The 25,610-nt window shown below is 45.9% G+C and overlaps 1 protein-coding gene and 1 pseudogene across 1 annotated transcript; one reads left to right on the top strand and one right to left on the bottom strand.

Moving 5' to 3' along the window:
• Nucleotides 1-3,781: 3,781 nt before the first annotated feature.
• ACTL7B (actin like 7B) lies at nt 3,782-5,180 on the top strand. Its single transcript, NM_006686.4, has one exon. It carries the CDS (start codon nt 3,838-3,840, stop codon nt 5,083-5,085), a length of 1,248 nt encoding a protein of 415 aa, NP_006677.1. The 5' UTR covers nt 3,782-3,837; the 3' UTR covers nt 5,086-5,180.
• On the bottom strand, nt 23,174-23,435 carry LOC100288416 (ATP synthase membrane subunit f pseudogene; annotated as a pseudogene).

Genomic DNA, 25,610 nt, shown 5'->3' with positions numbered 1-25,610 from the left:
GGGTGCTCCTAATAAAAACCCTGTTTCCCCTAAGCTTCCTGTTACCCTCTGTGCCTCTTCTCTCCCTCTATGGGTCATCACACGGTTAGTGGTAATGATGGAAGAATGCAGAGACTGTGGACACCGTGCCCCAAACCTCCACTGCCTAGCACACACACCCCCCATAATTGTCACCAGCTAAGGTCTGTGTGGGCCCTCTGGGGTCCCTAGTGAGGTCCCTCTTGGGAGAGGCACCCTATAGTGCTCAAAATATATTGGGCCACATTTTCTAATGGGATCACACCTACTTTTAGCCCTCTGGCTCAAGACCAAAAAAACCATGGGATGACCCCTTTTCAAATGCAACCCTGGGATCCTCTTCTATAGTGGAGGGAGAGAACATGGAAAGGTGAGATTAAAGAACACACTTCTGCCTGAGGTGCATCCTGGCTCCTGGCTTCAGTTTTGGGACACTGCCCACCCTTGACCTTTGGAGGAGAGGTGAGCCAGGCCTCTGGAATTTTAGCAGCAATGGGAGGGAAAAAAAGAAAATCCAGCATGGCATTTCTTCTCATGAATCACCTGGAGTTTTTCTTAAAAATTACTGGAGCCCACCACAGCCTTTCCAACTCTTGAATATGCTGGAGAACCCCTGAGTCAGGAGCTCCCAACAAAGAAGATCCTTGCCAAACAGGCACTTTGAGCTGCTTTCTCACAGCTCAGATCCCAGTGTGGACACCCAGGTCCCAAGACTGTGTCCATTTCCCCGAGGTGGAAGGGAGAGGAGCTGTCTTCAGGGGCAGATGTGCTACTGAGCATGCAAATGTGGATCCGGATGCTTCCCTTTCCATGTGCTCCAGCCCAGTGTCCCACAGCCTAGTGACCTTTGGGCATCTCTAAGTCAGCAGACCCCAAATGTGAGTGTGTGTGTGTGTGTGTGTGTGTGTGTGTGTATGTGTGTGTGTCACCATCATCCACTTAGCAGCTCAAGGCAGAGACCTGGAGGCTGTGGGTAGGGGTCAAGTTGACGAGGGGACATAGCAAAATGGTAATCACATTCAAACAACATTTCAAGTAGTTTACCCAAAGTCATACAGATTATAAATAATAAGTCTATGTTTGAACCCAGGTCTTCGGAATCCAGTTCCTCAGTCTTCCATCTGCTCTGTACTGCCTTTCTGTAAGGAATGGATAAAAAGTAGGCTCTGGCAGTCCATGAATACTGCCTTTAAATAGCCTAAGAGTTGTCGTGGAAGAATTTGCTTGCCCCGTAGAACTTCAAGAGTAGACCCAAGACCATTTAATGGCTTCAGAGAGGTACACATGCCAATCCAGTGTGACGAAACGTTTATCACTCATGGCTGGCCAAAATAGGGTGAGCTGTCCATGTCAGACTACTGGATGGAATGTTCTAGAAGGAACTGAAGGGTCCAATCCTCAGCTTCTGTGATTTCATGATCCCACCACAGGGCATTTCTGGGTCATGATGTTCATAATTATAACCCTTAGAAAGTTGTTACCCAAATAATATAGTTGAATGCTGCCATGTTCCAAGAAACAATTCAGCGGGCTGGGCATGGTGGCTCACACCTGTAATCCCAGCACTTTGGGAGGCCAAGGCGGGCGGATCACGAGATCAGGAGTTCAATGTCAGCCTGGCCAACATGGTGAAACCCCGTCTCTACCAAAAATACAAAAATTAGCCAGGCGTGGTAGCAGGTGCCTGTAATCCCAGCTACTGGGGAGGCTGAGGCAGGAGAATCGCTTGAAACTGGAAGGCGGAGGTTGCAGTGAGCTGAGATCGCGCCACTGCACTCCAGACTGGGCGAAAGAGCGAAACTCTGTCTCAGAAACAAACAAACAAACAAAAATTTGGCAAACAAAAATCCCCACACATTCCTCATTAGCATTCTTACATGCTCCATGGCAGTATTTCTTAACTCTTTTTCCCCCATGCATGTTGCCTAATCAATTCCTCAGGCACCTCTGCTCATCTTAATTCTCCCAGAAAACTTCCTCAGGCCCAGTTGCCGCTCTTCCCCTTTTTCTGTTGACTCTTCACCACCAAAGCCCTAAACTGCCTTTTTGATTTTTGGAGTGGGAGGGGGCAGCTTAAGTTGCAGGTCCCTCTGGCACTCTCGTGAATTTGTCCTTTCTGGATGACAGGCCATCTTTCTTTGCCCGGGTACAAGTAAGCGATTCATCCTTCCCTCTGCCTCACATCCCACATCACAGGAGCCCATGAGGGAAGCCCTGAAATGTCAGAGTAAGAGCTTGGATTAAAGTGAGGGATGGTTGGGGAAAAAACAGATTGGATTCTATTCTACTTTCTAAGTTTCTCTAGAACTAGGCTCTTCCTTGTTTCCACACTCTCACAGCCCTAGGTCAGGCCACCTTCAAGTCTTATCAGAAGTTCTCCAATGGCCTCGTTTCGGGTCTCAGTTTCTAGTCTTGCCCCTCCCATCCATTCTCTACATTACAGCCCAATGCAGATCTTTCTAACATTTTTATTTTTCTTTTCTTTTTTTTTGAGATGGAGTCTCACTCTGTCTCCCAGGCTGGAGTGCAGTGGTGCGATCTCAGCTCACTGCAACCTTTGCCTCCCAGGTTGAAGCAATTCTCTGCCTCAGCCCCCCAAGTAGCTGGGATTACAGGCACCCGCCACCATGCCCAGCTAATTTTTGTATTTTTAGTAGAGATGGGGTTTCACCATCTTGGCCAGGCTGGTCTTGAACTCCTGACCTCATGATCCACCTGCCTCAGCCTCCCAAAGTGCTGGTGGGATTACAGGCATGAGCCACCACGCCCGGCCCTTTCTAACATTTTTCTAGAGGGCAAATCTGATCATTCCCCTGCTTAAAGTCTTCATAGCTTCCCTGGCTCTCCTCAGTTTAGTCTAAACCTACTCCTGCCATTTGATGCCCTTTCTATTTGGCTCTGTGACTTCTCTAGCTTCATCTGTTTTTCCAAACACTTTGACTGTGGGAAGTTCTTCACCGTGCCTCCATTTGAGCCTTTGCTCAAGCTGTGCTCTCTGCCTGGGATGTCTTCCCCTCCTCTTAACTACTTGACAAATACCTACACCTCTTCCAGGATTCAACTTAAGCATCACCTCCTCTCTAGAGCACCTTCTGACTGCCTGTCTCAAATGAGTTCTCCAAGTAGACTTCTTCCTGCAAACCCATCGGCACCCATTCCATTTTCTTGTCTAGACTGGGCACTGCTGGTGGCCTGGGTTTTTAATCATCTATCACTGGCAGGCTGCACTGGGCGGGACCTACTATATACTCCAGTAAATGTGGAGTGAAGGGAGGAAAGAACTCTTGGGGCGGTTAAGGAGGCCTGGTGCATTGGAGTTTGATGAATTTGGGTTAAGGTACAAACACCCCAAGTGCTGTTTGCTCTTGGGCAAGTCCTTAGAATTCTGAGCCTCATTTCCTCAGCTCTGCCTACCTGCAGAACAACATAAGTGAAGTAACTAGTACAGTGCCTGCCTTACTGGAGGGGCTCAAATAGGCCCTCTCCACCAAGAAGCAGAAGAGGAAAGGTGTCCAGTAGTGAACAGGTTAGGCATGGAAATGCAAGGGGGCTGAGCAGAAACCTCTGAGACCCTAGTGTGCTTGGATTTCTAAAACTGCCGGCCACCTGCTCTGTCCGGGAGCAAACTTGAGTTAGAGAGGTGGGGGTGACACACCAAGAACCGACCAAAGCCAGGCCCTCCCCTGCTGCCTGAATGGACCAGCCCCGAGTGACATCACAATCCCGGGTGGTTGTCATGGCACTGCTGGAGGTGGGGGATCTCATTTCTCCCCAGGGGGCTCTAGGCTGTGGATGTGAGAAGGGGAGCAAGGGAGGCAGATGGCGACAAGGAACAGCCCCATGCCCCTGGGCACGGCTCAGGGTGACCCTGGAGAGGCAGGAACACGGCCCGGCCCTGACGCCAGCCTCCGGGACACAGGTGCGGCCACTCAGCTCAAGATGAAGCCCAGGAAGGTGCACAAGATCAAGGCGGTCATCATCGACCTGGGCTCCCAGTACTGCAAGTGCGGCTACGCGGGAGAGCCGAGGCCCACCTACTTCATCTCCTCCACCGTGGGCAAACGCTGCCCCGAGGCGGCCGACGCTGGCGACACCCGCAAGTGGACTTTAGTGGGCCATGAGCTGCTCAACACGGAGGCGCCTCTCAAGCTGGTGAACCCGCTGAAGCACGGCATCGTGGTGGACTGGGACTGCGTGCAGGACATCTGGGAGTACATCTTCCGCACCGCCATGAAGATCCTCCCCGAGGAGCACGCTGTGCTGGTCTCCGACCCTCCGCTCAGCCCCAGCAGCAACCGGGAGAAGTACGCGGAGCTCATGTTTGAGACCTTCGGCATCCCAGCCATGCACGTGACGTCCCAGTCGTTGCTGTCCATCTACTCCTACGGCAAGACCTCGGGGCTGGTGGTGGAGAGCGGGCACGGCGTCTCGCACGTGGTGCCCATATCCGAGGGCGACGTGCTGCCGGGCCTGACCAGCCGCGCCGACTACGCTGGGGGTGACCTCACCAACTACCTGATGCAGCTGCTCAATGAGGCGGGCCACGCATTCACGGACGACCACCTGCACATCATAGAGCACATCAAGAAGAAGTGCTGCTATGCGGCCTTCCTGCCCGAGGAGGAGCTGGGCCTGGTCCCGGAGGAGCTGCGCGTGGACTACGAGCTCCCGGACGGCAAACTCATCACTATTGGCCAGGAGCGCTTCCGTTGCTCTGAGATGCTCTTCCAGCCCTCCCTGGCAGGCAGCACCCAGCCGGGCCTCCCGGAGCTCACAGCTGCCTGCCTGGGCCGCTGCCAGGACACGGGCTTCAAGGAGGAGATGGCCGCCAACGTGCTACTGTGTGGCGGCTGCACTATGCTGGATGGCTTCCCCGAGCGCTTCCAGAGGGAGCTGAGCCTCCTCTGCCCCGGGGACAGCCCTGCAGTGGCTGCCGCTCCTGAGAGGAAGACCTCCGTGTGGACCGGCGGTTCCATCCTGGCCTCCCTGCAGGCCTTCCAACAGCTCTGGGTCAGCAAGGAAGAGTTTGAGGAGCGGGGCAGCGTGGCCATCTACAGCAAGTGCTGAGCCTCGGCATTTCCACAGACAAGGCCTCCAGCACAGATGGCCACAGGCCTCTCTATACACATTTACAGAATTTCACATAAAGGTTTACTCTGAAATGGCTCTTGTCTAGTCTGGGTTTCTTGCTTCTATCTGATAGCAGAGGGTAGGGGGGAGTCGGGCTTAGAAGCGGCAGCACCTTTTGCACTGGAGGTGGGGGCTGTAAGGAAGGGGGCTACCATACTGATCCCACCCCCTCTGCCTGCCTCATGATAGTGACATCATCTCAGGGCCTAGAAAGTGGCCTCCTGTTTTATTAGTACCTCCAGGTTCAAAACCTGATCCAAAGACACTCCTCATCGCTGGCTCAACTAAGGGGGTTGGCTCTGATGAAGGGACTAGCTTGGGTCACCTAGCGGTAGGTTGGAGGAGATGCACAGCTGGGTGTCCGACTCCAGTCTCCTGTTTCTGCTGTTCACAAGTGCTCCCAACCTTAACACTGCCTGATCACTCCAGGTTCCCTAACCTCCCCCTAGTGCCTGCCACCCTCAATATGGGAGCCTAAGGCTGTGCCAGTGCATCTCCAGAGTGTGAAGTGCCATTTCAACCCATCTGTGGGCGTACCCCTTTCAACCACAGCCAAAATTGCAGCTATTTTTCCAGAGTCACAAAGCAGAGCCACTGATTCCAGAGGATGTCAGAGGAACCAGAAGGTCCTTTAGAAATCGGGTCCTCTCCCGGCTATAGAGATGGGGAAACTGGGCTGGGTGCGGTGGCTCACACCTGTAATCCCAGCACTCTGGGAACCCGAGGCAGGTGGATCACCTAAGGTCAGGAGTTCGAGACCAGCCTGGCTAACATGGTGAAACCCTGTCTCTACTAAAAATACAAAAATTAGCTGGACATGGTGGTGGGTACCTGTAATCCCAGCTTCCCCAGGAGGCTGAGCAGGGAGAATCATTTGACCCCAGGAGGCGGAGGTTGCAGTGAGCTGAGGTTGCGTCATTGCACTACAGCCTGAGCAACAGAGCAAGACTCCATGTCCAAAAAGAAAAAAAAAAAAGAGAGATAGGTAAACTGAGACCAGAGAGGAGAGAGCCAGCTTAATGCCAGTGGTTGAGCCCAGGTCTCCTGATCCACATCAGGATTATTCCCATAAGGGTATAAACATGGTTCTTAATGGTTAGTCAGCAACCCAAAGCACTTACCATGCATGTACTGTGGGTCAGGCCCAGTGCTGGGGACTGAGAAATGAGCAGAACACAGTCTCTACCCTTGGCAATCACACACAGCTAATGGACAACCACATTGGTAGGGAGTCAAGGTCTGAGCTAAGTGTTCACGGTGGTGAGAAGGTAGTGGTGATGCATTGGAATGTTGTAAGTGGAGAAGTTGCTGGGCATGGTGTCCACTTATTGGCTTTGGGGCTGAGGGAGAGGCTGTGGAGGCTTGTGAGATTTCAGCTGGTGACTAACTGCCTACTTAGAAGAGTGGGTTCCTGCCCCCTTCCCTACCCTCACCTTCCAATGGAGTTCATGACCCAGTTGGTGCCATCTATGGGATCAGACATCCATGAGCTGCATAGTCTTGGATGGGCTGAGACTTAAATATCCCTGAGTCACCTCTTACCTTAAGCAAAGGGTCCTGATTTGGGGCACCCCATGAGGCTGCCTCTGTCCTGGGCCCAGTGCTGGGGGCTGCAGACTTGGGCAAGAACCAGACATAGTCATTATCACCTAAGGCCCTGCTCTTTAGTCCTTCCCCATTGTCCAGAATTGGGCATCTAGCCTGGAGTTTGAATACCCCTGGTCAAACAGGGCGTTGGCAGCAGGCATGGAACCTGGGCTCTTTCCTATAGAGGGATGTTGCAGACTGGAGGCCTGGAGGCTGAAGGTGGCCAATAGACATGTTTCATGTGGCCATCACAGTGTACAAGTGTTTTCTTGAATGTGAATTTTTTTCTGTGGGGCTGCATTTTCGAGGTTGCCAACGTCCCTGCCACACTGATGTCTTCATATATATTTGCTGCTTCAACACAACTTCTTCCTTAGCATTAGTTTCTGTTGCTTGTAACCCAAGTGATTGTAAAAAGCCTGATGAAATACAGAGAGGGAAGCTGAGGCTTATAGAGGGAAAGTGATATATCCCAAATCACACACGCAGTAAGTGCTACGTGTGAACCCCATTCCCTCCTTATCTCCTCTCCTCACTCCACACATCTTCAGCAACTTCTCCTGTCTCTAGTCACTGCTTCAGTCCCTCCAACACATGGTCATCTCCTCAAAAGCATCCCTCATGTGGCAGGGGCTGTAAAAACACTAATTGCTAGATCCCTGACATGAACTTATTTAAGCTAACCAGAGGATTCAGCAGGAGATTTATTTTTGGTGGAAAAACACGGGTCAGTGACTTCCAGCTTAAGATGACCTCCTGACCCTGTGTGTTTATCTCCCCTCCCTTCTCAGATTCCATGGAGTCATAGTAGAGAATATAAATGCATAAGCTCAGTGCAAATAAAGAGAATGGTAGGGGAACTACAGGGACTAGAGATTTCTACCTGATTCTGGAAGAAAGAGAGTGGAGGTGGGAACCAAGGAAAGAAGCAAGGGTAGGAATTTCCTGTCCTGCAGAATGGGCAGGAATTTGCAACTTGGAAATGCCAGACAGGAAAGACATAGCAGTGAAGCATGTGAGAGTGGGAACGGGCTGAGGAGGGGTGGTGCCCGTGGTCTCTATCTGAAGAATTGTGGCTTTCCATGCTCACAGGTAGAGAGAGGGGTAAGAACACTGGCTGCCTCTACAGGTATGTTTCTTAGGAAGAAAGAAGTTGAATTCTCTCTCTAAAAGTGGTGCTGGTATAGAAAAAGGAGGAGGGAAGCATGTGAAGAACAGACAAGGAGCCTCACCTGCACCCCCTTGTCCCTTCTCCAGACCAGGAATCACACTTGGGACTAGCTCATATTCCCGAGGTAGAATAGTTGATGCCTCCAACTTTCCTGTTATCACTTTCCACAACTCCTGGTTTCTGCATGGGCATCGGACGTGGCCCAGGACTGACTTCCCTTCCAGCACCGAGGGCAGAGCATGTGATTTAGGCTCAGCCAGTCGGAGCATCCATCTCCTTGGCCATAATGATTGGTTCTGGGTGAACATGCGATCTCAGTAGAGTGAGTCCTGGAGAGTGAATCCTACGCTTTTTGCTTGGAAGCTTGATGTGAAGTTGAGGGGTGTGTCCTAGCACTGCTGTGGCATTTATGACTAGGAAAGAAGCCAGCTTGAAGCTGACCCACCAAGGATTGTGGAGCTCAGAGAAACAAAGCTGGTGCCCTGGGGACGAAGTGAACCTCTGAATCAAACCATGCCTAGAGTTTGAACCCACTCCCAGGTATTTCAGTTCTGTGAGCCATGCATTCAACTTCATCATTCATGTGCCTTAGGGTTGTGTGTCTGTTACTTGCAACTGAGAGCATTCTAGCTGCGTCAATTTCCTTCTCAACAACAGCATTCCTCTGGAGCAGGTTTGCATGGAGAAGAGACTGGGGTTGGAGAGGCCTCTTTTAATTGAAATATTAAGACCAACAATTCATTTTTTCCTTACGAAGAAACTACATAAGAATAATTTTTATCAAGGTACCAGAGGATATCAGATAACATACTACACTGAAGGCAGAGACCAAAGAGTGTCTGTTGACTGCTATCTTATATATTCACTTCTTAGATATTTGTCCCTAAGGCTAGACTCAGAGCTTCTTGAGGGCAGGAACTGTGCTTCCCTCATTTTAGTTTTCTCAGAGTCTGGTGCAGAGCATGGCACAGAGTTGGTGCTTAGTACATGCCAAATGAACTCATTTATTCCCAGTCTGTGAGGTGGACATTACAGTATTTCCCCCCATTTTACAGGTGAGGACACTGAGGCTTGGAAAGGTTAGGAGTCTTGTGCAAGGTCACCCATCTGGTAAACCAAAGTCTTGTGCTAAATCGAAGTTTTGAGATTCCACAATGCCTTTTTGCCCTTGTCTCCTACTTTTCTGAAAATTATCAATCTCTTTTCCAAGAAGAAAAATTTACATATAAAAATTGCTTTCAAATCATGTACAACAAATTTGATGTAATTTCATAGTCATTATCCTGAGGTTTCAAAGTTAAAAATGCCAATCTTTTAGCAAAGAAGAGATTTGTCTTGCTGGAACCTTCCAGAGACATAAGCATTAGAGTGACATCAAGTGGTGAAGTCCTACCACTTCCACATGGCAAGAGGCTTGTTTTCCTCACTGTCCAGGCAGTCTGATCTCTCTCCCTCAAATGTTTGTTACTAAGTTTGCTGTAAGAGTTATTTGCCCAAGGTCTTTTTCTTTTTCTTTTCTCTTTTTTTTTTCTTTTGAGATGGAGTTTCGCTCTTGTCGCCCAGGATGGAGTGTGATGGTGCAGTCTCAGCTCATACAACCTCCGCCTCCCTGGTTCAAGCAATTCTCCTGCCTCAGCCTCCTGAGTAGCTGGGATTACAGGCACCCACCATGCCCAGCTAATTTTTGTATTTTTAGAAGAGATGGGGTTTCACCATGTTGGCCAGGCTGGTCTTGAACTCCTGACCTCAGGTGATCTGCCCGCCTTGGCCTCCAAAATTTCTGGGGTTACAGGCATGGGCCACTGCGCCTGGCCCCAAGGTCTTTCTAAGAAATTAACTTTATAGCCCAGGCACAGTGGCTCACGCCTGTAATCCCAGCCACGTGGAACTCTAAGTCCAGTTAAACCTCTTTCCTATGTAAATTGTCCAGTCTCAGATATGTCTTTATCAGCAGCATGAAAACGGACTAATACAGTAAATTGCTGAAAAGATACCCAAAAATGTGGAAGCAACTTCAGAACTCGGTAACAGGCAGAGATTGGAACAGTTTGGAGGGCTCAGAAGAAGACAGGAAAATGTGGGAAAGTTTGGGACTTCCTAGAGACTTGTTAAGTGGCTTTGCCCAAAATGCTGATAGCAATACGAACAATAAAATCCAGGCTGAGGCAGGCTCAGATGGAGATGAGGAACTTGTTGGGAAGTGGAGCAAAGGTGACTCTTGTTATGTTTTAGCAAAAAGACTGGTGGCATTTTGCCCCTGCTCTAGAGATTTGTGGAACTTTGAACTTGAGAGAGATGATTTAGGGTATCTGGTGAAAGAAATTTCTAAGCAGCAAAGCATTCAACAGCTAACTTGGGTGCTGTTAAAGACATTCAGTTTGTTGTTGTTGTTGTTGTTTGAGACAGAGTCTTGCTCTGCCGCCCAGGCTGGAGTGCAGTGGCGCTATCTTGGCTCACTGCAACCTCTGCCTCCCGGGTTCAAGCGATTCTCCTGCCTCAGCTTCCCGAGCAGCTGGGACTATAGGTATGTGCCAGCTAATTTTTGTATTTTTAGTAGAGACGGGGTTTCACCACATTGGCCAGGCTGTTCTCGAACTCCTGACTTCATGATCCACCCACCTTGGCCTCCCAAAGTGCTGGGATTACAGACATAAGCCGCCACGCCCAGCTGGCATTCAGTTTTATAGGGGAGGCAGAGCATAAAACTTTAAAAATTTGCAGCCTGACTAGGCAATAGTAAAGAAAAACCCATTTTCTGGGAACAAATTCAAGCTGGCTGCAGAAACTTGCATAAATAGCAAGGAGCCTAATGTGAATCCCCCAGACCATGGGGAAAATGTCTCCAGGCCATGTCAGAGAACTTCCTGGCAGCCACTCCCATCACAGGCCCAGAGGCCCAGGAAGAAAAAGTGGTTTTGTGGGCTAGGCCCAGGGTCCCCATGCTGTGTGCAGTCTAGGGACTTGGTGTCCTGTGTTCCAGCCACTCCAGCTGTGGCTGAAAGGTGCTGATGTGCAGCTTGGGCTGTGGCTTCAGAGGATGGAAGCCCCAAGCCTTGGCAGCTTCCATGTGGTGTTAAGCCTGTGGGTGCACAGAAGTCAAGAATTGAGGTTTGGGAGCCTCCACCTAGATTTCAGAAGATGTATGGAAACGCCTGGATGCCCAGGCAGAAGTTTGCTGCACGTGCAGGGCCTTCATGGAGAAGCTCTGCTAGGGCAGTGCAGAAAGGAAATGTCAGGTCAGAGCCCCCACAGAGAGTCCCTTCTGGGGCACTGCCTAGTGTAGCTGTGAGAAAAGGGCCACTGTCCTCCAGACCCCAGAATGGTAGATCCATCAACGGCTTGCACTGCGCACCTGGAAAAGCTGCAGACACTCAACAACAGCCTGTGAAAGCAGCCGGACGGGAGGCTGTACCCTGCAAAGCCACAGGGATGGAGCCGCCCAAGACCGTGGGAACCCACCTCTTGCATCAGCACACAATGGATATGAGACCCGGAGTCAAAGGAGATCATTTTGGAGCTTTAAAATTTGACTGACCTGCTGGATTTCAGACTTGCATGGGCCCTGTAACCCCTTTGTTTTGGCCAATTTCTCCCATTTGGAACAGCTGTATTTACCTAGTACTTATACACCCATTGTATCTAGGAAGTAACTAGTTCGCTTTTGATTTTACAGGTTCATAGGTGGAAGGGACTTGCCTTGTTTCAGGTGAGACTTTGGACTGTGGACATTAGGGTTAATGGTGAAATGAGTTAAGATTTTGGGGGACTGTTGGGAAGGCATGACTGGTTTTGAAATGTGAGGACATGAGATGTGGAGGGGCCAGGGATGGAATGATATGGTTTGGCTGGGTACCCACCAAAATCTCAATTTGAATTGTATCTCACAGAATTCCCATGTGTTGTGGGACAGACCCAGGGGGAGGTAACTGAATCATGGGGGCTGGTCTTTCCCATACTATTCTCGTGATAGTGAATAAATCTCACGAGATCTGATGGATTTATCAGGGGTTTCTGCTTTTGCTTCTTCCTCATTCTCTCTTGCCACTGCCATGTGAGAAGTGCCTTTCATTCTCTGCCATGATTGTGAGACCTTCCCCAGCCACATGGAACTGTAAGTCCAGTTAAACCTCTTTCTTTTGTAAATTGCCCACTCTTGGGGATGTCTTTATCAGCAGCTTGAAAACGGACTAGTACTAAAGTCTATTAATTTTCTTAAATGAAACTAAAAAAAAAAAAAAAAAAGAAAGACAATCTACAGAGGCCGGGCATGGTGGCTCACGCCTGTAATCCCAACAGTTTGGGAGGCTGAGGCGGGCGGATCACCTGAGGTCAGGAGTTTGAGACCAGCCTGGCCAACATGGAGAAACTCCATCTCTACTAAAAATACAAAATTAGCTGGGCATGGTGGTGCATGCCTGTAATCCCAGCTACTGGGGAGGCTGAGGTAGGAGAATCACTTGAACCCAGGAGGCAGAGGTTGCAGTGAGCACTCCAGCCTGGGAAACAAGAGTGGAACTCTGTCTCAAAAAAAAAAAAAAAAAAAAAGAAGCTAAAAAAAAAAATCTACAGACTGAGTGAAAACACTTGTAAACTACATATGTTTAAACTACATATGTTAACTATATCCAGCAAAGGACAAGTATATAGAATTTTTAAAGACCCCTCAAAACTAACAGTTTAAAAAATCCAATTAAAAAAATGAACATAAGACATGACAGACATTTCACCAAAAAAGATATGTAGTTGGCAGATAAGCACATGAAAAGAATGTTCAACATCATTAGCCATGGAAAGGCAAGTTAAAACCATGATGAGACCTTACTATCCATCTATCAGAATGGGAAAAAAAAGAAGAAACCACCAAAGCTGGTGAAGATGAAGATGAGGAGAAACTGGGTCACTCATACATTGCTGGTGGGAATGTAAAATGTGGAAAACAGTTTGACAATTTCTTTAAAAATGAAACATGCAGCTACCATACTACCCAGAAGTTGCATTTGCAAATTTATCCCAGAGAAATGAAAACTTATCTATCTTCACACAAAACCTGTACACAAATGTTCGTAACAGCTTTGTTCATAGCAGCCAGAAACTAGATACAACTCAGATATCTTTCAATGGGTGAATGGTTAAGCAGTAGTGGATTCAAATTTTTCTAGCAGGGCCAGACACGGTGGCTCATTCCTGTAACCTCAGCACTTTGGGAGGTCAAGGCAGGAGGATTGCTTGAGGCCAGGAGTTTAAGACCAGCTTGGGCAACGTAGACTCCATCTCTTAAAAAAAAAAGAAATTAAAAAATTAGCCAGGAATGGTTGTCCATGCCTGTAGTCCTGGCTACATGGGAGGCTGTGGTGGGAGGATCACACGAGCCCGGGAATTCGAGGCAACAGTGAGTTCTGATTGTGCCACTGCACTCCAGCCTGGGCAACAGAGCAAGACCCTGTCTCAAAAAACAAAGCAGGTTTTCCAGTTCTTACTGAGAGGCACCCATGAGGATTGGAGAAGAATAAACTATAGATAGATGCAACAACTTGGATGAATCTCCAGGGAATTATGCTGCTAGAAAAAAGTCAATCCCTGAAGGTTACATACTGTGTGATTCCATTTATGTATCATTTTTGAAAAAACAAAATTATAGAAATGGAGAACAGATTAGTGGTTCCAAGGGTTAGGGTTGAGTGGGTAGGGGGAAGTAGATATGGCTATAAAAAGAACATTGGGAGGATCCCTTGTAGTGGTGAACTGTTGACTTCTTCTTGATTGTATGAATGCCAATATCATAATTGTGACATTATGCTATAGTTTTGCAAGATGTTACCACTGGGGGAAACTGGTTAAAGGTACCTATTATCTCTCTATATCAATTCTTATATAACTGCGTGTGAATTTACCATAATCTCATAATAAAAAATCGAAGTAAAAACTTAAATACATAGATAGGGAAAAAATATATATCCTAATGTTCAAGCCACAGCTTAGACCTTTTAAATCAAAATGTCTAAGGGTGGGACCAGGTATTAATATTTATAAGTTTTTCAGATGATTCCAGTTTGAAACTTGCAGCCAAGTTTGAAAACCGATATCTTAGCCAACTGTGTGGAGCATGAGGAGCCAGCATAGGAGGCCGTGGAGAGCTTTGGGGCTGTACACATCAGTGGAGACGAGTTGTGTGGTCTCGGGCAAGCCATTTAAACTCTTGTAGCCTTGGGCTCTTCTTTGTAAATTGGTTATAACCTGTCCTTACTTCCCAGCACTGATTTGCAGATCAAGGAGAAAATGCAGGTTAAGTGTTTTATAAATTGTAAAGTGTAATGTAAATCTCCTGATCAACGGGCAATGTATATTGTACATATGTACAAATATGTGTGTTTTTAAGTATGTGCTGTAGGCAGATATTTTCATGTTTAGTATCTCATTTAATCTCATCAACAACTCAGCAGTGTAGGAGTTGTGATCCTAATTTTATAACGAGAAGCCTGAGGCACACAAAAGGTAATAAATAATAATACTTTTGGCTTTAGCGGTACAGATTCTGTTCCAGCAAAACTCCATCTGCCATAGTTTACCCAACAGAGGTGGTTGTCAAGGTCACTTAGATTTAAAAGTAAGTCCCTGCTTTCAAGTCTAAGAGACTTAAATGAATATGTAAATAAAATTCCTGTAAGGGCAATTTTGGTTGCGTTATCTGGGTCATCATCTGAATTGTGCACTTCACTTTGCCAATACAGATGAAGCTAAGCATAAGAGAGAAAAATGGATGTTGAGAATGAGAAAGTGCCTGATTCACAAATAATTTATGCCCAGCAAGAAGTGAGAGGCCACCTGGGATAAGAACAAGCTAGGACTTGCGGCATCCCATTAGTGAATATTAAATCCCTTTTCATGCCTGTGTTTGATTACAAAGGTAGTTAAAAACACATTAAGTATGGAAAAAGGTGATTCTGGCATCAGGCTTTCACCAAGTGAAAATAATGACAATGTAAAGGAGAAGGAAGCTATTCTCTTTGTATGTGCTTCTGTTATAAATTAAATCAATTAAATTACTAGAACATTTGTAAAAATAAAGTCAAAGAGGGATCTATTCAAAATATAACAGAAAACTGAGACAATTTTATGTTTAAAAGTCCATATATGCAACTGGAAATGTCTGGATCAAATGTCTAGATGCTTTTTTGGATTATTAAGACAATTACTTGATTGACCAGCTGTGTTTATATAGAGACCAAGTAATTCAAGGTCTTCTACCTCCCAAAGGGATTTGGAGCACGGGATCAGCCTCAGAACTGGCCATTTGGCAAAGTTTTTCTAATCATCTCCCAAGAATTTAGAGCTTTGCGTAAACTAGCTACACACCATCTTTCCACCTCTGAAGAACATTTTTTCATTCACTTTATTTGGGTTTGCTGGTTCCCAGTTAAGTTAAATCCTTAACAATCTGGCTCAATGAATTAGGAGCAACTCACCAAATGAATCTTAAGAGATTGGAGAAGGTATAATTAAAGTCAGTGGGCAGCTGGGTGCAGTGGCTCACACCAGTAATTCCAGCACTTTGGGAGGCCAGGGTGAGGATTGCTTGAGCTCAGGAGTTTGAGACCAGCCTGAGCAACATGGTGAAACCCCACCTCTACCAAAAACACAAAAATAAGCTGGGTGTGGTGGCATGTGCCTGTGGTCCCAGCTACTCAGGAGGCTGAGGTGGGAGGATCCTTGGAGTCTGGGAAGTCAAGGCAGCAGTGAGCCATGATCACGCCACTGCACTGTGGCCTGGGTGACAGAGCTAGACCCTACCTCAAAAAAAAAAAAAAAAAAAAGGATTTTTTTATGTTTTTGCATCCTATTCTCTTTTTCCTTTTGAAACCAAGAAGCAACCTTTCTACCGGCCCAGGTCTTGGAGAGACATGGCTGGTTTCAGTCCTAACTTGAGGATGTCTGAGCCTTGAAGAAGTTGCACAAGGCATTTCACTGTTCTTGATTTTATTTTCCTAAACTGGTGAAATGGTACTGATGTGGTTTGGCTTTCTGTTTCCCACCCAAATCTCATGTTGAATTGTACAACATGAAAAAACTTAAATAGACAGGGAAAAAATATATATCCTAACGTCCAAGCCACACCTTAGACCTTTTGAATCAAAATCTCTAAGGCTGGGACTAGGTATTAATATTTGTTTTAAGTTTTCAGATGATTCCAATGTGCAGCCAAGTTTGAAAACCAATATCTTAGCCAACTGTGTGGAGCATGAGGAGTCAGTTTTAATGTTAATTGAACTAACATCACCTGGGATTCAGAAGGTGGAAAAGATTCTCAAATTTTAATATTTATGTGAATCACCTGAGGATCTTGCCAAAAATGTAGATTCTGATTTTGCATTTCTCACGTGTTTTCAAGTGAGGCAGATGCTGCCACCCTGGGACCACATTATATGTAGCATGACAATGGAGTTTCAGGCAGGGAAAATAATCTCATGCCCCTAGCTAAACCTGAACCTCACTCTGCTAATTTTCAGTTTTGTTTTGTTTGTAAGGAAGGCAGTTTCTTTAAAGAAACAAACTGATATGGTTTGGTTCTGTGTCCCCTCCCAAATCTCATCTCGAATTATCATCCCCATGTGTCAGTGGAGGGACCTGGTGGGAGGTGACTGGATCATGGGGGCAGTTTTCCCCATGCTGTTTTCGCGAGAGTGAGTGAGTTCTCACGAGATCTGACAGCTTAAAAGCGTGTGGCGCTTTCCTCACCGCTTTTTCTCTCCTGCTTCGCTAAGGTGAGACGTGCTTGCTTTCCCTTCGCCTTCCACCGTGATTGTTAGTTTCCTGAGGCCTCCTAGCCGTGCTTCCTGTACAGCCTGCGGAACTGTGAGTCAGTCAAGCCTTTTCTTCATAAAGGACCCAGTCTCAGTTCTTTATAGCACTGTGAGAACGAACTAATTAAGGTACTATGAAAAATGACATGGAAAGCCATTTGGCAATCTTGTGTGAGCTTCCTGGCATCGGCCTGGGTCCCTGTGGATTGGGGTTTCTGCATGGGCACCTATCAGGGCAGTATTTAGGCAGTACCTACTACTGTCTCCAACGGATACTTCCCCTCTGCTCTTCTTGTTACAGTCTTCCTGGCTATCAGGGACCACCTGGCTCCTCTCATCTTTTCAATTCCTTCTCCCTCCTTATCTGAGCTTTCACTTCACCCTGGCTCTTAGATTGCCAAATTCCATGCTATTCCTTAGCAAACCATCAGTAGCTTTCAATATATAAAACTATTGAAAAACTGAATTAGATATAGGTTGTCTATTTCCCTATTGCTAAATTTGAGCTGCCAATGTTAGTGATAGTCATCCTTCACAGCAGCACTTTGCAGTTACAAAGCACCATTGCACTTCCTTTTTTACATTTGATTCTCACAAGTATCCCAGAAGAAAGACTACTAGGTGGGTGTTTAACAGTATTCTCTTTTTATAGATGGGCAAACTGAACTCAGTTTTGTGTTGGATTTAGTTGCTGTGCACATAGCACTGTGTCTGGTGCATTGGGAGTACTTAAGAAGACTATTCCTTATGGCAGGGTGATAAAAGCAGACAAAGGAAACCTTTTTTTTTTTTTTTTGAGACGGAGCCTCACACTGTCACCCAGACCGGAGTGCAGTGGCACGGTCTTCGCTCACTGCAACCTCCGCCTCCCAGGTTCAAGCAATTCTCTGCCTCAGCCAGAAACCTCTTTTAAGCACCTGACTTCAATTCGGTACAATGAGCAGAATGAGTACTCACTTGGTCCACACTCTGCCAGCCCCTGAGGGTGGGCAGGTGCAAAGTAAAAATGCATAAGCCCTGCTGTCAAATTGTTTATGGTTTTAGGTGGGGATGGTTGTCAGATTTAGCAAATATAGATAATGATGCCCAGTTAAATTGGAATTTCAATAAACAAAAAGTATTTTTTCAGTGTAAATATGAACCATGCAACTTTTTGGGGCAGTATGTTATTTGACAACCCTGCATGGGAGACGAAAGACTAAAAGTCTGAAATTATGATAATAGTAGGGACTCTAGGAAGATTTCCTGGAGGAATTAACAGCTGAGTTGGGTCTTGAATGCTGCAGAGGCCACAGAAGATCTAGGTACAGGAGGCACATTGGAGTCTGGGAAGTTAGGGAATGGAGATTTTATTATTTTAGTCTCAGTTTTCTCATCTATAAAATGGATATAATAATAGTACCAACCTTGTCAGGTTGTTGTGAGGATAAAATGAGTCTACATTCGTAAGACACTTAGGGGAATGCCTGGTACAGAGTGAGTGGTGATGATAAAACTAATGAGAGCAGTGGAAAAAGGTGAAAAAGAGAGTCTGGGCACGGTGGCTTATGCCTGTAATCCCAACACTTAGGGAGGCTGAGGTGGCTGGAACACTTGAGGCCTCCTAGGAGTTCAAGACCAACCTGGCCAACATAGCAAAACCCTGTCTACTGAAAATACAAAAAAATTAGGCATGGTGTTGCATGCCTGTTATCCCAGCTACTCAGAAGCTGAGGCATGAGATCACTTGAACCGGGAGGTGGAGGTTGCAGTGACCCGAGATTGCACCACTGCACTCCAGCCTGGGCAACAGAGTGAGACCCTGTCTCAAAAAAAAAAAAGCATTCCAGAGTTTCAAGTTATTCCTGGACTCAACTAACTGGAGGAGCAGAGCCATGAGGCAGAAGGTGGAGAAAAAGAAGAATGACATTCCCAATGGGGTTGAGTGGGAAAAGCTGGAGTCTGGGAAAAGGCAAAGAGAAGTAGGTTTCAGAGAAGGTGATCAATTCTGTTTGTACCTCAGTGCCCAGTCTATGTGAAGAGATGTGGCTGGAATTAAATACAGGCTCTAAAAAAAGGCCAGAGTCAGGTGTAGAGGTCTGGGAAGCTTCAGATTAGATGTGAGGAAAGCCAAGGACATGTATTATGAAATTTCCAAAAGACTGAATGAGAGATGAAAAAGAATGCTGAGGTCGCCATCTGGCCAGTGCTCTACTTGCAACTCTGATTTTCTCTGATTTAACTTAGTAAGGCAATCCCATAAAACCCAGGGCAACCATGAAATCCCCACAAAGTTACGGACCTGCATATATGCTTGGATGGGTGTGGGCTGACCTGGAAGGCAGGTCTTGGAGAGAACTGAGAAACCAGGGAACTGGGGTGAAGGAAGAAGTCACTTTTTGCTTTCTACCTTTTTATTACTTTTGTTTTTCTCTCCAAGTGTGAATTTTTTTTTTTTTAAAGACGAAGTCTCACTCTTGTTGCCCAGGCTGGAGTGCAATGGTGCTAGCTCAGCTCATTGCAACCTCCACCTTCTGGGTTCAAGCGATTCTCCTGCCTCAGCCTCCAGAGTAGCTGGTATTACAGGTGCCTGCCACCATGCCTGGCTAATTTTTGCATTTTTAGCAGAGATGAGGTTTCACCATGTTGGCCAGGCTGGTCTTGAACTCCTGACCTCAGACAATCCACCTGCCTCAGCCTCCCAAAGTGTTGGGATTACAGGCGTGAGCCACCGTGCCTGGCCGAAATTGTTTTTAAAAATCTTAAAAACTAGAGATTTTGGTAAACTAGTGTAAGAACCTGCAAAAAGTGGCTCCTATTTGCATTTTATTTCTTTCGTCATCCTGGAATGACTTTTGTGGACATCTATGACTTTCTTCATTTTCACCCCTGGAAACAAGACTCTGCCTCAGGATGCCTCCACTCACGCTTTGAATGTGTCCATAGAATCTTAAGAAATATTGCTCCAATGATTGCACACATTTTTCTTTGTTTTTTTTTTTTTTTTTTTTTTTTTTACTTTAGGTTTGGAGGTACAAATGCAGGCTTTTTGTCTAGGTAAACTTGTGTCACAGGAATTTGTTGTACAGATTATTTTGTCACCCAAGTACTAAGCCTAGTACCCAATGGTTATTTTTTCTGCTCCTCTCCCTCCTCCCACCCTCAAGTAGACCCCAGTGTCTGTCGTACCCTTCTTTGCGTCCATGAGTCCTTGTCATTTAGCTCCCACTTAGGAGAACATGTGGTATTTGGCTTTCTGTTCCTGTGTTAGTTTGCTAAGGCTGATGGCCTCCAGCTCCATCCACGTGCCTGTAAAAGGAATGATCTCATTCTTTTTTATGGCTGCATAGTATTCCAAGGTGTATATGTACCACATTTTCTTTGTCCAATCTGTCATTGATGGGCATTTACGTTGGTTCCATGCCTTTGCTATTGTGACTAGTGCTGCAATGAACATTCACGTGCATGTATCTTTATGGTAGAATGATTTATATTTCTCTAGGTGTATACCCAGTAATGGGATTGTTAGGCCAAATGGTAGTTCTGCTTTTAGCTCTTTGAGGAATTGCCATACTACTTTTCACAATGGTTGAACTAATTTATACTCCCATTAACAGTGTATAAGTGTTCTCTTTTCTTACAACCTCACCAGCATCTGTATTTTTTGACTTTTTAGTAATAGTTGTTTTCACTGGTGTGAGATGGAATCTCATTATGGTTTTGATTTTCATATCCCTAATGATCAGTTGTACACAGTTTTCATTTCTGTCAGTGCCTGATGTCTACTTCAGTCTCTCCATAAACTTGGATTGTGGGAACCATTTGTCAACGCTGTGTTAAAATCCCTTAGACACCTGCTGAGCCTGGCCCAAAGTACTAGCCCAGGATCCTGGTCCCCAGGAAGTACAAAGGGAGAGTCACTTGGGAGTCCTTGGATTTTCCACATTTGGTAATGGACACAGGAGAAACAGTGAGGAGAGAAGGGAAAAACTGTCTATTCCGTATAGTTACTGCTGTACTGTTCTGAAAAGAGATAAGAAGAGGCCATGGACATGAACGTTTTTTAATCACAACATGTCTGACACCAAATGTGTGGGATTTCCCTTAATTTTTCACACCAACTAATTTAACAACTCTTTAGACGTCAACTGGGTGTCCTGCAATTCAATTCAATCCAAACATTAAGTACTTAGAGTTGGCACAGACCCCACAGGTGAAGGGCTCAGTCCTATAAAACTGTCACCCATGCTGGGCGAGGCGTCAGAGCCCCGGCATTGAGAAGTGGTGGACTTGTGGGTTGGTAAGAAGAATTACTGACAATAGTATAGGTTTGAAAAGTAAAGTCTGTTAGAAAAAACTCCGCAGAAGACTGCAATGGAGGCCAGTCATGGTGGCTCACACCTGTAATCCCAGCACTTTGGGAGGCCAGGGTGGGTGGATCACATGAGGTCAGGAGTTTGAGACCAGTCTGGCCAGTGTGGCGAAACCCCGACTCTATTAAAAATATAAAAATTAGCTGGGTGTGGTGGTGGGCGCCTGTAATTCTCAGCAACTTGGGAGGCTGAGGCACGAGAATTGCTTGAACCCAGGAGGCAGAGGTTGCAGTGAGCTGAGATCGTGCCACTGCACTCTAGCCTAGGCCACAGAGCAAGACTCCATCTCAAAAATAAATAATAATAAAATTCATAAAAAGATGAGTGCAACTTGGTGCCTCAGTGAGAGGACTGAGCGTGCCACAGTGGATTTTTTCCTTAGGAGCATTTATGGACCTTAAAGTGGGAGCTTAAGGATAATTTGGACCATGTTAGCCACATAGGTCATGATAAATGCTTACATATGTAGACATTTTTGTGCCCTGATGTCAGCAAGGGTTGCACAATGAGTTTCGGCATAGCATTCCGGAGATGTATAGGAATTCTAGTTACTTATAAATTTTGGCGGGGAAAGACCTGGTACCAGTGCCTGCTTTAGATAATAGGGAAGTCTAATTACTTCTCATTTCCCCAGATACGGAGTTTTGCCTCTGGATGGCCTGCCTGATAGTCACCAGGTGGTCTTCGTTTCCTTCTAAATTCCTCAGTTGAGGAGTTTTTGTCTCTGGGGCCTCTTCAGTGGTCACCAGGTGATTGCGCTCTCCTCACCCAACTTCAGAGGGTAGTTACAGGTCCCAGGTTTCCACCTGCACTTCTGACCAACCGCTTATAAATTGGGGGTTCCTGTGACCCCTTCTTCAGGTTTGATAATTTGCTATAATGACTCATAAAATCAGGAAGGTGCTTTACTATTACTGGCTTATTATACAGGATATGACTCAAGAACAGCCAAATGGGAGAGAGGTAGAACACAGGGCGAGGTATAGGGAAGGGGTGTGGAGCTTCTGTGCCCTATTGGAGTGTACCACCCTTCCAGCGCCTCTGTGTGGTCACCACCTCCAGCTCTCCAAACCCCATCACTTCAGGGTTTTTATGGATGCCTTGTCACTTAAGCATGATTGATTAAATCAATGGTTGTTGGTGATTAGCTCAATCTCTAGCTCCTTTCCTCTCCCTCGAGGTCTGAGGGTAGAGAGGGAGGCTGGAATTTCCAAACCTCCGATCATCCTTGGTCTTTCTGGCAACCAGCCCCCATCCTGAAGCTACCTAGGGGACCCCACCAGCAGTCTTTCATTAGCATACAAAAGAAACTCTCATCACCCCAAAGATTCTAAGGGTTTAGGAGCTGTACACCAGGAGCCAGGGACAAAGGCCAGAGGTTTATTTATTTTTTATTATATCACAGTGGACAAGCAGAAATTGGAACATGATAAGAGTTTCAGAAATAATCTGTAGAAGCGCAAAGATTAGTAATAAACCCAATTTAGTCAACATTTTTTAATTGAGAAAACAGAAGCCCATGGTTGGGAAGTGGCTTGACCAAGGACACATAGCTGACAAATGGAGGAGCTGAGACCACTGTAACATTTTCCAATTTCTGGTCTTGCACTCTGTCCACATTATTGAAGCCTCTAGTTCAGCTACGTGCAACTCAGCACATCCAAAGCCTTTGCACTGCGTGCTCTTTAATCCTTTAAGAATCTCTTAAAGAGGAACAGACTTGTCTGCGGGTACCAGTGACCTGGCATGAGCTTTCCTTTTGCAGGAACAGTGTTATGCTCTCTACAAAGAGCAGGTGTGAGTCACCTCCAGTCACAGCCAAGCCAGCATCTCTTACAATATTGTGGAAAAAGGCTCCACGTATCAAAACTGTCTTTTTAGAAAACAGCCAGATTTGTGCTCTGAGAAGAGCTCTGGCCCTGGTCCGAGCTCCCAGGGATCCCTCTTTGGGCCCCAGCTTTTCCTTTCTTTTTTAACCAGTCGTCTTTTATGTGGAGGTTAATTCCCATTAGGATATAAAAAGATTCAGCAAGGATCGCGTTCCTCAAGGACAGGTGTGGGCAAAGGAGGTCGTGGTCAGGGCGACAGAGCGTGCTGTCCGTGCAGGCCCCTCTTCAGTGGTACTTGCATAGCTGCTCATGCTTGAGCTCCTTGTAGGAAAGGCAGTAGCTGAAGAGCATGTAAGCTGCCAGTACCGTGGAACCCCCTGAGACACCCTTTCTTCACGTCGATGTACTTGTTGTAGTACCAGTAGAAACCTCTTTGAAATGCTCCAGCAATGCCACTAGGGGTGAAATCTTGCATCAGTATCCAGCTTGGCAGCTCCCCTAGTTTGACATCCAGGAGTTTCTTCTCCTTCACTGGTATAACTGATACCATCTTGGAGGACCAGCTGTGGGGCCCAGCTTTTCTTTCAGTGTCAAGAAGCTTGAATGGCTAATTGCACCTCACCAGGAGGTCTGATGACACTGAGGAGGCTTCCCCCAGCTAAGGCCCAAATTAGTGAATGGCAAAGGCTCACAGCTAGAACAAGAAGGAGAACGTGAAGCAGGACGAAGAGCATGGCAGAGACTGATAGTTGTCTAGGAAAACGTTCCCCTTCTTCAACAGTAATGAAATTTTAGCTGGGCGTATGGCTGCCCAGTTGGAGGCTGCATTACCAGTCTCCCTTGCGGCTAAGTGTGGCCATGTGACTAAGTTCAGGCCAGTGAGGGACGCATGGAAGTGCTAAATGCAACTTCTGAGTCATCTTCAATGTAAAGAAGCTCCTTGTCCCGGAGCAGCTCTCTTCCTTCTTCCCTTGAGCTGAATATGAATGTGCCTGTGGCCTAGCACTAACTATGCAGACAAAGACAATGCCCTTGGTGACAGCAACAGGATGGAAGGAACCTGGGTTCATCAGTGACTGCATGTAGAAAAAGCATTCACCAACCTGGACCTCAGCATTGTTAGTGACAGGAACAAACTTCCATCTCCTTTGAACTATTTTTGAGGTCTTTGGATATAGTAACATACCCTTTACTCTGACTTCACAAATGAAAAGGCCTTGGCTATTTCGTATTATCAAGAAGCTGTAATTTACATACCCAATTATAAATGACCAGGGATTTGACGATTCATTTATATTCCTGTTGCTTGGGGCTCAGATCATGCTTTTCCACAGAATCAGTGTGATTCATGGTGACACATGTCATCCCCAGACTCAATTAACTCATAGCCTCAGGTCGAGGTCTAAGGGGCAAGGAAAGAGAGTCACGGTAGAGATTATGATCCTCCAATGAGCAGACAACCCCATGCCCATTCTGCCTATGCTTTTGGCCTGCCTTGCCTCCAGGTTGCTACATACCAGGTCTCAGATTGCCACCTCCCCTACAATTCAACCAAATGCCTAGCTTGGTCTCATTTCATACAGAAATAAACAAAACAATCTGCCTGAACTGATATATGCTGACATGATTTTTATCTAAGAAAATCTAGGTCATTCACTATGGTGGACTTAGAAAAGTTTGTGTTCTCTACAGTATATTATTGCAGTGCAGTTGTGGTCCACAAGCATGGTTGCATCTGTCTAGGGAATTAGGTTATCTTACTGACCACATTTACTTCCTGCAGACAAAGTTTAAAATAGAAAGGAGAATAAGGCAGGGAAATAATTTCAAAAGGCAAGCAGACACTTGGCTGCCTGGTCCAATTGCTAGGAGACTAGATTGCATTTATGGAGTATGGAAAGTAAAGGAGTGATCTGGAAACACAAGAGCCGGTATAAGTCTGCTTTGTACCATATCCATAAGAATTGGGTTCAAGAAACAGAATCCATTCTGAATACTGTAAACAGGAAGAGATTTTTAACACGTGGAATCTTACAAATTTTGCTTACCAAAATAGTTGTGAGGTGGGAGTGCTTCACATATTATCTCATTTAATCTGGAGACTATTTCTAGGAGGCAGGTACTATTGTTCTCATTTTCACGTGAAGATACCAAGTCTCAAAAAGTCTGGGAAATGCCCAGTTCCAACATGAAATGGGATTTGAACTGTGTCTCTTTCTACAAGTTGCTGCTCTTCTGTGCTCCTCACATTCCTCCACATCTTGAGAGAAAAGGTAAAATCTAGACTATATCCCCATGATGTTTTTATGAACCACTTTAAGCATCAAATGACAGGGTTGGAAGTGAGACTTGTCTGAATATAACTTATTTACTTTTGAACCACATAAAGTGTTTGACATTTTTCAAAAAAATAAAATCAAGGAAAATAAAGTTAACCCTAAAATTGAAAATAAATTGACATTAATAAACTTAACTCTATCAAATTGGTTACATAATCACACAGAGAAAAGAATTATTCCAAGTGACTTTGGAACATGTTTCTCTTGTATATATTCTTGGTGGGACATATTCTAAGAAAAAAAGAATTGCAAATAATTTTAAACTTCCCTCAGTAGTTTTATTATTACAAGTAATATTTGTGTTATAATTTTTAAAGTATTTCATATATAATTAGGATAAAAAATAAGAATGTTAATATTGGCTGGGCGTGGTAGCTCACATCAAA

Source organism: Homo sapiens, chromosome 9, assembly GCF_000001405.40.
Source record: "Homo sapiens chromosome 9, GRCh38.p14 Primary Assembly".
Classification (NCBI taxonomy): domain Eukaryota; kingdom Metazoa; phylum Chordata; class Mammalia; order Primates; family Hominidae; genus Homo; species Homo sapiens.
The sequence above is the reverse complement of the archived record's forward strand: the minus strand, read 5'-3'. Positions and strand labels throughout refer to the sequence as shown.

What these genes read in the sequence shown, in the direction of transcription:
- ACTL7B (NM_006686.4), top strand. Translation starts at nt 3,838, where the DNA reads ATGGCGACAAGGAACAGCCCCATGCCCCTGGGCACGGCTCAGGGTGAC.